At 35.9% G+C, this 14,997-nt stretch overlaps 2 long non-coding RNA genes across 3 annotated transcripts in view; one reads left to right on the forward strand and one right to left on the reverse strand.

Moving 5' to 3' along the window:
- LOC107986195 (uncharacterized) overlaps window positions 1-14,997 on the forward strand; it is a 496,338-nt gene that overhangs the window by 266,574 nt on the left and 214,767 nt on the right. The gene's annotated exons all lie outside the window — the stretch shown is intronic.
- Window positions 1-14,997, reverse strand: part of LOC105377481 (uncharacterized) — a 51,454-nt gene that overhangs the window by 19,251 nt on the left and 17,206 nt on the right. For both annotated transcript variants that reach the window (XR_007058322.1, XR_001741437.2), the window contains one exon: window positions 2,019-2,079. This is a non-coding gene — a long non-coding RNA (uncharacterized LOC105377481). The remainder of the gene's footprint in view (window positions 1-2,018; window positions 2,080-14,997) is intronic.

Consider the following 14,997-nt stretch of genomic DNA (forward strand, 5'->3'; position numbering starts at 1 on the left):
ATCCCTCCACCCCATTACTCTCAAATCTCATAGATGGTAACCCAATATGAAATTTACTCCCAGCAGACCACACAAACAGAAAGTAATTGGCAGGATTCACTTCTAAAGCTTTACAGAGATATTTGGTCTTCTAAGGAGAATATTTTCAAGGGGGTTTGTGGAAACAATTGAAGATTAGGCATGATAGCTTGGTAGGTATAGAAGCAAGTCTGAAGGGCCACTTAAGTTTGGAATGATAATGTGACATTGAAGAGATATCAAACAACACCAGGGTAATCCATCTTAGTAGGAGCCTTGGGTTATATATTATGGCTTTCCAAAATGGGCTCCTGAGCTGTGTCCTAGCTGTATTTTAAAATTAAAACAGGAACAGTACCTCTCTTCTTTGTTACTTCTTGGCTTAAGCCAAGAGAACTTAGATGCCTTCCTGAATATTGAAGTTTTTCCAACTCTCTGAAAACAAGTTGAAGGAGATGATGGGTTTGGTGTGTGTGCTGGTCAGCCAGCTGCATCCTCTACAGGTTCTTTTAAATATTTTGTTTTCTTCAGAGATTTTATTTCTGACTCTCAATTTGTAGTGTGGACATTGGCTAGGTATACCAGATTCAGAGTAAGTAGCTGAAATATTCCCAAGCAGGCAAACATGAAAAGAGATCTGAGCTGTTTTGTTTGTTAGTAGGAAAGGGGGTTGTTTTTACGTTTTCCACCAAACACCACTTTCACTCTTCCCTTTCCGCATTCCCAGGGTGACTATGAGGAGTGACCTTCTCTACTATAGATTCAAGTTTTTATCTTACACTAAAACATAACATCCATGCAAACTAGGTTTTCTTCATCCTGGCTCTAAGTATTTCTTACTGTTTCTCTATTTTCTTTTTGGTTTCACTTGTCTCTGTGATCATGTATAAAACCAGAATCCCATTTAATTATTTAATGGTGTCATTTTGATAAAAGGACAAAGCCCTATTTTTCATGTAGTTATTTGTAAGGGTATAGTACAGAGAGTAGAGCTAACTTTTCAAGTAACCACATTTATGGGAGAATGGTGCAGTTAAAATGATCCTTAGAAACTAGTCAATAGACATAAATGTTAGAATTGAAAGTGCCATTAGATATCTGACAAGGTGGTAAATTATTCTAGGTCTCCATTTCCTCATTCTGACAAATGAGAATGTTGTGTTGATGTTTTCCCATTTTTTAAAACCCTAATATTCTATGGTTTAGAAATTTATAATCTACAGACATTGATTATAGTAATTAAAAGTCCCTGTCACTGACCAAAGTACTATCTTTATGTTAACCAAGATTTAGAAGCATACCTCTGTGAAAGGAACATTCTTAATTTGGTGAAACTAAAGCTGGCAAGAATTCTACATTTAATAGTTCATATTGAAAAAGCTGTTCACTACCAAGTGAAAGAAAGACATTTCTACAAAGGCCATCGTGGGTAGTATTTGGAATTTGTGGACATCTGGAATGAATTCTCTTCCACCTTTTCATTGCTCTTCCTCCCTCCCTAGGAATCCCAAAGCCAGCATGCTCTTGAACTTCAATTTTCTGGATTGTGAATATATAGGTAATGGGGTAGAGTATGCAACCTTAAATCCCCATGGTTACAGAATCTTACAGTAACAAAAAAATCCCTGTATATTAAAAATTCATATATCTTAGAGACAGGGTCTCACTGTGTCACCCAGGCTGGAGTGCAGAGGTGCAATCATAGCTCACTGTAACCTTGGACCTCTGGGCTCAGGCAATTCTTCCACCTCAGCCTCCCAAAGTGTTGTGATTACAGGCATGAACCACCATGCCCAGCCTAATATTTTAATAGAGAGCTATATAATTTTTAAAAATAGACATTGAAAGTAAGGGAATGTTTCTAAAGGAACCCTTAAAGGAAATATGGACATAAATTTTCTAGAAAAAAATCCTTGGTAATTACAATATTTGGGAAAAAGAAAATCAGATTTTGTTAAAAGTTTACACTCAGATTCAAAAAGGTTTTATTTGGAACCTACCATATTCCAGGCACTCCGACAGATGTTTTATTTTTCATCCCATTTAATCCTCACATTGATACTGTAACAAAAGTATGATTATTTTATTTTCAGATGATGAAAGTGAAATCCATAAATGTACTTGCCCAAGAATTTAAACTGAGTCTCTTGGATCCAAGTGTCAAGAAAAAAACATCATCTGAATATTTTTCCCACCAAGAAATTAAGTTATTGAAGTTCTCACAATTACTAACAGTATGCTAACCAAGTGTTGTCTAAGAAAAGCTTAAAAAGACAAATGATTTGGAAGTAATATATCAGAACTGCCTGCTTATGTGTTGCAATTATATAATTTGTATGTAAATGAGTATACTTAGGTAAACAATCTCCTTATGGGTTTGCCCATCCTATAGTAATGTGCTTAGCCCTCTTTTCAAGAGATAGTGCAAAGGTAACATCAACCCATGTGTCAGTAATCATCAGATTAACAAAATCCATATCAGTTTGGATTTTTCTCCATGCCATTATGGGAATATACTATAATTATCATAGTTTTACTCTAAGAGCTCAATTTGTCTTGGATAGTGACAGTTGTATAATATTAAATCTATGCCTTGGAAAGTGGTAAAGTTATTATAGAAAACATATTGAGCCACTTTTCAAAGCTCCAAATAAGAAAGTTGTTTTCAATACTAAAACCACTGATTTATATCAAAAACTTCACAAGGGTTTATAATTTTTAATAACTTTAAACACTGAAAGAAAATAACTATTTTCAAGTCCAAAAGGATCAGATTGGTTTGAAAATTGTCACACATTTTGCTTCTCTTTATGCCTGTTTAATTGGTTAATGAAATATTTTCAAAGAGAGAAATGTCTTGCTGCATGGTTTTCTGGGCCCTGCCCAGAAAAGTCAACTTTGGAGGGAAGGGTTTATCAGGAAGAAGGACGTAGCTTTTCACCAGCCTTGTGTCTGCTATTTCAGCACCTGCTTGACTCTGCTTTTTGATTTTCCACCCAAATGCTGGGACGGCCTGGATGCTCTAAGTAGGAATATGGTGCTGAGACCAGCACGGTTGTGGATACCCTAACCCAGCAGCTCTAGAGGAATTAAAGACACACACACAGAAATATAGAGTGTGGAGTGGGAAATCAGGGGACTCACAGCCTTCAGAGCTGAGAGCCCCGAACAGAGATTTACCCGCATATTTATTGATAGCAAGCCAGTGATAAGCATTGTTTCTATAGATTATAGATTAACTAAAAGTATTCCTTACAGGAAACAAAGAGATGGGCCGAAGCAAAGGGATGGACTCTGGCTAGTTATCTACAGCAGGAACATGTCCTTAAGGCACAGATTGCTCATGCTATTGTTTGTGGTTTAGGAATGCCTTTAAGCAGTTTTCCACCCTGGGTGGGCCAGGTGTTCCTTGCCCTTATTCCGGTAAACCCACAACCTTCAGCATGGGCATCATGGCCATCATGAACATGTCACAGTGCTGCAGAGATTTTGTTTATGGACAGTTTTGGGGCCAGTTTATGGCCAGATTTGGGGGCCTGTTCCCGAAATGTGGAGTGTCCTCTGCTCAGTATTTGATTAGAAAGAAGAGGTTCTTTCCCCCCTTTTTCCATGCAGAAAGGCTTGGACCAGAAGGGTGGAGGGAAAAATCAAGTTCTAGCTTAAAAAGCTCAACAGAAACAAGTACGTTAATTCAGCATGATTTTTTGAAAACAAACTCATGTTCCTCAGCACGCCATAATTGCAGTTTAATTCCCTGCCCATAAGAATGCTGATGTCACTCAAATTCTGACCACTGAAGAAGACCAGGTTTGCTCTTATTCTTGGCTGACTGCAACTGGCATTGATGTAAAGCATATTTATATATAAAACAAAAAACACTTAAGAGGCTTATCTGTCCCTATTCTCCAGATATGTATCTGACACTTCATGGAGTGTCTTCTTCATATGAGTTTCATCTTCCACCAGGTGTGGTGACTCACTCTTGTAATCCCAGGACTTTAGGAGGTCAGGGTGGACAGATCATTTGAGCTCAGGAGTTTGAGACCAGCCTGGGCAACATGGCAAAACCCAGACCCTACAAAAAAATACAAAAATTAGCCAGGCTTGGTGGCACATGCCTGTGGTCCCAGCTGCTTGGGAGGTGGAGGTGGGAGGAGGATCACTTGAACCCAACAGGCGGAGGTTGCAGTGAACCAAGATCTCACCACTGCACTGCAGCCTGGACAACAGAGCAAGACTTTGTCTCAATTAAAAAAAAGAGAGATTAAAGTTGAATTCTTACCTTGATTGAATCAAAGACAGGGAAGATTTGAAGGAATACCACTCTTTAAGGTTCTCTTCAAGAGAAAGAAAAGGAAAGAACAGAAAAGAAAAGAGAGAGAGAACAAAAAAGGAAGAAGGGAAGGAAGAGAGAGAAAGAGAAAAGAAGGAAGGAAGGGGAGAGAGAGAAAGAAAAAAAGAAAGAAAGAAAAGAAAGAAAGAAGGAAAGAAAGAAAGAAAGAAAAAGAAAGGAAGAAAAAGAAAGGAAGGAAGGAAAGGAAGGAAGGGGAAGGGGAAGGAGGGTGGAAGGAAGGAATGAAGGAAGGAAGGAAGGAAGGAAGGAAGAGAGAGATAGAGAGAAATAAATAAAGAAAAGGTCAGCACAGACCTTTAGGTAAAGTCCTACTCCCATTCAAATCTCGGAGAATGCCCCTCACTGTTCTATCCTATTCCTCAGGAAACACCTGTCTCTTCAGTTGGTCTTTTGTTGGATAATGACAGTGTGTCAAGGGGAAATAGCATTTCCTATGTGTTAGATGTTTTTTTGGTAGAGCCGTATCCCATTCAGGCACTTTTCTTTCTTTTCCTTTGATGGAGGAAAAATGCAGGATGATGAGAAAGCCCCAACTGACATCAGTAGATTATCTTAGCTTTATAAAGCCATTCCAATTGATCACTAGGGCTTGAATATGCCTTAGGCTCAAAGTATATAAATTGGAATTTCTCTTGTGGTTCAGTTTTCCTTCTGAAGGGTTACAAAATTGGAGCTAATAGCTAGAGAAAGGGTCCTCTAGCATATTACATATAATTTGGTGGGATTGTCCCTCTTGATATATTTATAAATGTCTCTCAGCCCCTTTACATGTACTTTCGTTGATGCTTCAATTACCTTTTGGTGAAGAGGGCGTGAGGAAAATAATTCCATTATCGAATATGCTTTTATTATTCCTCTTTAATGCCTTTTTCATTTTGGGGTTTTAGGAAATTATGCTCACTTTTGTTTTTAAACTAATCATTGACTTTTTATAATAATACAACTACTTTTTCAATATAGTAAAGCTTTGACAGTGTTTCCCAAAAAACTCTTGCAGGAATATGAGAGTAAAAATTTATAGTCAGTAGTTCTCTCTCATGCCTTTGTTTCCCCCACTTCTGGTTACACCAGAAGGTCCTGTGCTTATATTTGGTCATCACATTCCTGGAGGCTTTGCCTTCTGACTGTTCTCCTTCTGTAGATTCTGTGGTCACCACAACCTGAAATGAGGACTACTTTGTGACATGAAGCAGTAACTTGAAGAAGGGCCAAGGGGATGAAAAAGACAATGTAGGCTAACACAATATAACAAGTAGCTTAAAAAAAAAGACAAAATAAATCATTCTCCTTCAAAACAAATTGAGGCAAAATGAGCAAAAGGGTCAAAATACAAAATTCGTGGGCTGACCTGGAAAATATAAAGATGGACCTAGAGATTGAATTTCAACCCTAAATTGCTTGAATCTCTTGAATCTGTTAATTGATTAATTCACTAAACAATTATGTATTAAATGTCAGACACTATACCATCAGGTTCTGGTAATAGAAATAAACATGACAGATCTGGTCCCTGTACTCATGTTATTTATAATCTAATGGAGAGAACACAGCTTATTTAAATTATTACAAAAAATAATTACATACATACAAATGTGATAAGAGCTCTGCAGCAACTAGGTAAAGTACATTTTAAATGATGATTTATAAGTCTCTATATTCAACAAAGACCCTGACACCCTCTTGAAACACACTATAATATAGTCTATCTTTTAATTATTAATGTGAAATTGTTAATAATTAGTATCAAATGTAAAATTGTTTTATAATTTCTTTGATTTGAATTATGCAAATGGGAAAGAAAATTCACCATTGGGTGTGCCAATCAGAAAAAAATGTCTACTATGCCACTGATACTCTCCCAGAGACTTTCTAAGACACACCAGGCTATTGATGGGGAACTACAATAGCAGCTGCTTAGAGATATAGAGATGACCTATGCAACTTGTATCTTTGTAGCCAGCCAGTTATTTACCTAAGATTCTTTTCTTCTTTAAAATGAAGATAATAATGATTAGTTCAATAACCTGAGAGGCTGTTGTAAGGCTAAATTAGATAAAATCACTTTTTAAAGAGCTACAAATCATATTAGTATTTTGAATTCTAAAAATCAACGTGTTCAGTTCATGGCAACATGTGCAGAGAAATAAAACATTAAACAGGTTATTACAATGTAATAACTAAATTAAAACCCAATTTGTAGTCAAGTAAATGCAGAATTGATGCTGAGAAAGTCAAATCAGTGATGTAAAGGAAATTGGGAAAAGTTCCCCAAATGTATATTCTTATGCAAAAAAATGAAAATGATAAGATCAAAACGATAAATAAAAGAGCCATCCTTCAGCTAACAGATAAACCCTGAAGAAGAAAACAAATAAAAAGTGAATGAAACACTTATCAAAGATATACTAGAAGAAATTTATCTTTGATAAAAAATTATTCATTATTTCTATTTTCTAGTTAATACTGAAACAACAGTATCTTATCTATCTTGTATATCTTAGTTGTAAAATTAAGTAAAAGTTCCTGATGTTTTATGTGAATTTCTGGCTGTACAAGAAGACTACAGCTTTTTATAATTTGGGAATAGTTATAGTGCTTAATATTATTTGTGTAAAAGCCAAGCAAAGTTTAAGCACAGATGATTAAAATATCCTCCAGGCTAACTCCCATAAAATTGAATTAAAGCACTAGATAAAGCATTGATTTATTCCATATTGATATTAGTCATAAAAGTATGTGTCTCATACAGGAATACAAAATATTAGCCATAAGGTTATTAAGTGTCTAGATTTGATAACGTATATATTTAACAACACTTTTCATGGCTTGGAACAAATGAAGTTACCAAATCCTTGCCATCCAAGAAACCGATAATCTGATTGGGGAGAAGGATGTATGCAGGAAAAATAAAGAAATGAATAAGCAAAAATAAAGAAATGAACAAAGATCACATCTCGGCCTTTTGGCTGAGATCAAGTGTAGAAATTAACAAAGAACGGTATTAAAAGGTTAAGATATAGTCTGAATAAGGAATCAAGAAGTTTCAAAATTTTCTATTTGGCCATTGGTTATAGGAAAGGGGCAATTTCAAAGCATGTGCAGAATTATGACTGCTTTGAAAACATTCTTCAGGTTCTGGAGACTAGAGATAACTGTAATGGAGAAAGCTATTTTCGATGTTGTCATAGCAATGCAGTTGTTTCCTGTCATCCTTGCTCTTTTGGAATGGAGCCATTTGATGAGTTTCTCATGGTCACATTCTACCTCTTCTGCAGCAGCATCATCAGAATAGCTATTATTTGTTAGACTGTTATATAATTGCACCTAATATTTGCATTGTATGTATTCTATGCCAAGTCTATTATTTAATAATCAACATGTACTACTATTCAACATTCCTTATAGTAGCTCTATGAGGTAGATACTATATTTTTTCCCATTTAACAAATGGGGAAACAAAAGCAAAGAGAATTTAGGTAACTTGCCCAAGGTGAAAACTTATACATTACAACGCTGAGGTTTGAACCCAGGCAGTCAGGCTCTAGACTTTGTGCTCTTAATTGCTATGCTGCACTGCCTATGACCAAACCTTGTAATAGGTGCTATAGTAATGTTCACAAGAACCTGACAAGATAGAGATTATTATCTTCATTTTTATATGATGAGACTGAAGAAGGTTAAATTGCCAAAAGTCACAGCAGTAATAAGTGACAAAGCTAGGGTTCAAACCCAGGTTTGGGTGAATCCAGTGCCTGTTTTCAGGGTGAATCCAGTGCCTGTTTTCATTACCCAACACTGTCTCATATTGAATTTTAGAGAACATATCCTCTAGGCAGGAATTTCTGTCTGAACATACAAAAAAGTCATATACTATGAATATGTAATATGTTTTAGAAAGGTGATTTTTCTTTCAGGAGATCTATTTTTAAACATATTTTTAAAGCAGATTTGAATAGGAATATATTTAATACTTGGTAACAAAACCCTTTATTTATAAATACAAGATTGAAAAAGCTGCATGTTTCTTAGCTAGCTCCCAAAGGGAATACTGAGAATAACAAAAATAAAAGTTGTCTCAATAAGTTAAACCACAGACTTAAGCTACAGCAATTTTAGAGCAAATTAACTGTTATGTTTATTGTTTATCCTCTGTTAGCTAATATTAGAAACTCCTTTGTATATGTGGCATATAGAAATAAATGGAATTTGCATTTAAATAACTGGTTATATCAAGTCTAACAAAACATGTATTTTTTATTAGGTGTGGTTTCCAATGAAGAATATGTTGTTGAATCAAAAAGATAATTGGATCAGTGATCTTGAATCTTTCATAGGTGATGTTGAGTAGAAACCTCCATGTATAGTTAAAACTAATGACCTAGTAAGATGTGTGCTTCGAGTTTTCCCAGTGATATTGAAGAGTTTTTAAGTCATCATCATTCTCACTCAGAGGCTCCTGGTGTCTTGAAGTACCCATTTGTATGACAACTGGCTAACACCAAATTGTTTGTGGCAAACTGGATGAAATCAACTTGTCTGCCATATAAATTCATCTTTTGGTTTCACATTTCTCGTGACCATTTTTTATTCAACTCAGAATATCTTTTGATTTTATTAATTCACTTAGGCTGCTTGTGTGATTGTGAATAAATTTTTTAGTCTTAGTCCTTTTCTATGTATAAGGTAAAGAAAGCCACATACTACTTTCACCTGTTTTTTTTAATAGTAAGTTGAATTAATGCTTTTTTAAAAAGTGTTAGAAAAAAGATTTTTTTTTTAAGAAACCACAGTTCGCCTGTTCAAGTTTGAGCCAACTCAAGTTCTCTTTGGGTAAAAGCCAAGTGAAAATATGTCTCAAGTTTCTTACATGAAAGAAGCATATAAAGGCAGGAAATTTAAAGACGACCTAGTGATTTTTAATAACACAGGGAAATATTTGGTTGATTTTTGGTATCTTTTTCCCTTTCAAAAAATAGATTTAAAATACTAATAATGCCGGTTCAGTCTTCCTTTGAAAAGGAAAATGAGGGCACAGTGTTCACTTAACAATGGATGCATGAAAATGACAGCATCCTGGGGAGCAAGAGCAATGACGTAAATCTTTTAAAATGAGGATATTAGACACTTTTTCTTGACAGGCTAAAGGCAATGTGTACAGGGAATAATTATAATACCTCAGGAGGGTGAAAAGCTGAAGTGGTTTGTTGGAATAGATATTACCAGGACATATTTTTTTTTCTGATGCTTCCCAAATAAAGGATTCAGTGTGTGTCAGCTGTTGATTGTTTAAAAAAGCTATACACATTTTAATTTAACAGAATATTTATTTTATTCTCTGATTTAATAGTTGGCTGTTTTTTGAAGGAATTATATGTGCCTATACTCTTCTGGAAAGTTTTATCTTCTTTCTTCTATTTCTAGCTTCATAACTGCCGCAGTGGTCTTATTCGCTTTCTTCAGCCATCTCACACGTATCTGATGCACAGAATACTATGATGCTCCTTATTACACACGACATGCAAGTATAGAGATTGAAACTTCAGTGGCGTGAAATTCCTTTCTTAGAGCATTGTGGATATCACTAATCTTTTGGGTAGCATTGCTGAGAGCCATGCTTGTCTAAGCTTATGAGGAATCTCCCACAGTGTTAAAGAAGTCAAAACAAGTCAAGAAAAAAAAATTGAATTAACTTTCATCTCTCTATTAATGGGTAAATGACTTCTATCTGAACTTCTCAACTTCTATCTGAAAATTTTTCTTTTTGGAACTTGCTCTTAATTTCACAGCACCTAAAGAGTCCCTTGAGACCAACTGGTACTTGTAAAGTTCCATTACAACAATGAACAAAATAATGACATAACCACTCTTAAAAAAGTCAATGGCTATTGAAAACAAAATATTTGGTGAAGTCCCTGTACAAAATCATCATCTCATTTTGTCCTGTAATATATGCCACATCTATTTTTGAGTTAATACATTCAGTTTCAGGTAGTTCTAAACTTTGAAGTCTAGCATTGATGACTGAGCTTGAAATCATACTCTAGAATTGGATGATGAGCTCACATAAACCCATTTATGTTGGAGGAAAGGGGAAATGGAGAAGAATCTCCACCAGCAGAGACAGTACACAACATACTTTCATGCACACTCACAATTTGTGATTGTCATGGCCAGACCAAAAAAAGGTTCCCAACCTCTCTCTCATCCCCTCCTTCTACAGCAGATTGTTTTGTAGGCTTAAGCTAGCCTTTTATTATAGCTGCATTAATTGCTAATGCTAGGTGAATAGTACTCTCCTTGACTCTGGTGTAACCACTTCAGAGGGGAGAGGGGACAGGGTGTAAAAAGAAAAAAGCATCATCATTCTTTCAATTCACATGTGTGTAATAATTAAACACTTTGAGGGGAGCGTTCAGAAGAATATTAATAAATTCCCTTGAGAGTTCTTTTCAATAATAGGCAGGCTCTTTTACCTTTGGAATATTCCATGTGTCATTATTTTTCATCTTTAGCTTTCCTTTGGGATGCAATCATTGGCAGTTCAGACAACTTTCACATCAAAGTTTTCAAGTTGAAGGAAGTCATTTAAGTAAGATTAACCTAAGTAAGTACCATTTTCACTAAATCTAGAAGAAAAAAATCAATCATCTCTTAATACAAAGGTGTGTGTTTAAAATATTATCAATGAATGTTCACACATTAGCCAGAGAGAATCTTCCTGGCATGAGTCCAGGCTGTCTGCGTGAGTGAAAAGAGAACATTTTGTATTCTACCTGCCAGGTGAGAATCTGAGTCATACTTTCCCAAGTGGTGTTTTTGGAGACAGAGCCAATGAGGAATTTAAATTTTAGAAGTTCCTCCTTCTTAATATAATGCATAAAATATTGACAGAGTGTGTAATATGAATGGTTTTTAATTCCAAGATATGGTTATAAGGTTTTAATAACCAATCTAGGGGAACACTAGCTAATTTAGAACATAATTCTTGGAGGAGTTTGTTATGCCCTTAGGGCTCTGGCTTTGGAGAGACCTTTGATAACATTTAGCATTTCTCCATTGAGACTCTTAAGTAGCTCAATCTGGGTAGCTTTGTGTTAGGATGTTTCATTTCATTAAAACATTCCTTTTCTTATTAGCATTCCCAAGTCTTTCTGATAGTTATAGAATGTGATTGGCTTAATAAAAGATTTTCTAGGAGACAGCTCAATTCATTAAATGGGATTTTTATCATCAAAATTAACATTTAAAATATTATATTTTGAAATAATTGAATGTGATGGATGAGTTAAATAGGCTGCATTTTTAAACTAACATTTTGGCTATGGTTTTGAAATTCAAAGCTTTACTTGTTTTGAAGTAAACATAGGTTGGGTGATTCTGTTGCTTAAATTATTTTCGACTCTTATCTATGCTTTAATCAAACTTGAACAGTTACAAATTTTCATATTACTATTCATCATTATTATGGGGGTCTCAGATTCGGTAAACTGTATACATATTCACCCTATTCTTCCCACTTTTCGTGTGAGAACACAATTGTTCACCTTTCTTTTGAAGCCTAATTTCAACTCAAACATCACAGTCCAGTAAGTGAAAAAAGTTTTCCATTTGCTACATCAGTGACAGACAATTCTTCTTAAGCTCCTTTACTTATTGTATTGCCTTGCTTAAATAGGCTTCCAACTGTGTTCACCTTTAGACCAAATATTAGCCTGATCCCTAAAGACTTCTATTATATGACCCCACTCTGCCCTTTCAAACTTAGTTCTCATGACTCTTCTATAAGAAACATGTACCATCAACAAAGCAAGCTATTCACTGCCCCCAGAGTACCCTGCATACATCTGTACATGTATGCTTTTGTTTTACATTTTACCCAGCCTTCATGATCTTCCTTTCCCTTTACATATACTCATTACCTTATTGAATCCACCAAAGAAACCACTTTTTCCAAGTATCTTCAGATGTACTCTTCTCATAGCTTTCTCTCTCCCCACTTTGGATTTCGGTAGCTGTTACGGTCTGAATGTCTGTGTCACCCACCAAATTCATATGCTGTAATTCTAATTTCCAATGGGATGGTATTAGGTGGAGGGGTCTTTGGGAGGTGATTAGGTCATGATAATGGAATACTCAAGAATGGGATTAGTGGCCTTTTAAAAGGGACCCCAGAGATTCTGGTATGTTGTGTCTTTGTTCTCACTGGTTTCAAAGAACATCTTTATTTCTGTCTTCATTTCATTATGTACCCAGTAGTTATTCAGGAGCAGGTTGTTCAGTTTCCATGTAGTTGAGTGGTTTTGAGTGAGCATCTTAATCCTGAGTTCTAGTTTAATTGCACTGTGGTCTGAGAGATAGTTTGTTATAATTTCTGTTCTTTTACACAAAGACACAATATACCAGAATCTCTGGGACACATTTAAAGCAGTGTGTAGCGGGAAATTTATAGCACTAAATGCCCACAAGAGAAAGCAGGAAACATCTAAAATTGACACCCTAACATCACAATTAAAAGAACTAGAGAATCAAGAGCAAACACATTCAAAAGCTAGCAGAAGGCAAGACATAACTAAGATCAGAGCAGAACTGAAGGAGATAGAGACACAAAAAAACCCTCCAAAAAAATCAATGAATCCAGGAGCTGGTTTTTTGAAAAGATCAAAAAAATTGATAGACCACTAATAAGACTAATAAAGAAGAGAGAAGAATCAAATAGATGGAATAAAAAATGATAAAGGGGATATCACCACCAATTCCACAGAGATACAAACTACCATCAGAGAATAATATAAACACCTCTATGCAAATAAACTAGAAAATCTAGAAGAAATGGATAAATTCCTGGACACATACACCCTCCCACGGCTAAATCAGGAAGAAGTTGAACCCCTGAATAGACCAATAATAGGCTCTGAAATTGAGGCAATAATTAAGAGCCCACTAACCGAAAAAAGCCCATGACCAGACAGATTCACAGCCAAATTCTCCCAGAGGTACAAAGAGGAGCTGGTACCATTCCTTCTGAAACTATTCCAATCAATAGAAAAAGAGGGAATCCTCCCTAACTCATTTTATGAGGCCAGCATCATCCTGATACCAAAGCCTGGTTGAGACACAACAAAAAAAGAGAATTTAGGCCAATATCCCTGATGAACATCGACACAAAAATCCTCAATGAAATATTGGCAAACCAAATCCAGCAGCACATCAAAAAGCTTATCCACCATGATCAAGTTGGCTTCATCCCTGGGATGCAAGGCTGGTTCAACATACACACATCAATAAACTTAATCCACCATAGAAACAGAACCAAAGACAAAAAACACATGATTATCTCAATAGATGCAGAAAAGGCCTTTGACAAAATTCAACAACGCTTCATGCTAAAAACTCTCAATAAACTAGGTATTGATGGGACGTATCTCAAAATAATAAGAGCTATTTATGACAAACCCACAGCCAATATCATACTGAATGGACAAAAACTGGAAGCATTCCCTTTGAGAACTGGCACAAGACAGGGATGCCCTCTCTCACCACTCCTATTCAACTTAATGTTGGAAGTTCTGGCCAGGGCTGTCAGGCAAGAGAAAAAAAAAAGGGTATTCAATTAGAAAAGGAGGAAGTCAAATTGTCCCTGTATGCAGATGACATGATTGCATATTTAGAAAACCCCATTGTCTCGGCCCAAAATCTCCTTAAGCTGATAAGCAACTTTAGCAAAGTCTCAGGATACAAAATCAGTTGTGCAAAAATCACAAGCATTCCTCCAAACCAGTAACAGACAAACAGAGAGCCAAATCATGAATGAACTCCCATTCACAATTGCTTCAAAGAGAATAAAATACCTAGGAATCCAACTTACAAGGGATGTGAAGGACCTTTTCAAGGAGAATTACAAACCACTGCTCAATGAAATAAAAGAGGACACAAACAAATGAAAGAACATTCCATGCTCATGGATAGGAAGAATCAATATCATGAAAATGGCCATACTGCCCAAGGTAATTTATAGATTCAATGCCATCCCCATCAAACTACCAATGACTTTCTGCACAGAATTGGAAAAAACTACTCTAAAGTTCATATGGAACCAAAAAAAGAGCCTGCATTGCCAAGACAATCCTAAGCAGAAAGAACAAAGCTGGAGGCATCACGCTACCTGTCTTCAAACTATACTACAAGGCTACAGTAACCAAAACAGCATGGTACTGGTACCAAAACAGAGAGACAGACAAATGGAACAGAACAGAGGCCTCAGAAATAACGCCACACATTTACAACCATCTGATCTTTGACAAACCTGACAAAAACAAGAAATGGGGAAAGGATTCCCTATTTAATAAATGGTGCTGGGAAAACTGGCTAGCCGTATGTAGAAAGCTGAAACTGGATCCCTTCCTTACACCTTATACAAAAATTAATTCAAGATGGATTAAAGACTTACATGTTAGACCTAAAACCATAAAAACCCTAGAAGAAAACCTAGGCAATACCATTCCGGACATAGGCATGGACAAGGGCTTCATGTCTAAAACACCAAAAGCAATGGCAACAAAAGCCAAAATTGAGAAATGGGACCTCATTAAACTAAAGAGCTTCTGCACAGCAAAAGAAACTACCAT

This window comes from Homo sapiens, chromosome 4, assembly GCF_000001405.40.
Source record: "Homo sapiens chromosome 4, GRCh38.p14 Primary Assembly".
NCBI classification, from domain to species: Eukaryota; Metazoa; Chordata; class Mammalia; order Primates; family Hominidae; genus Homo; species Homo sapiens.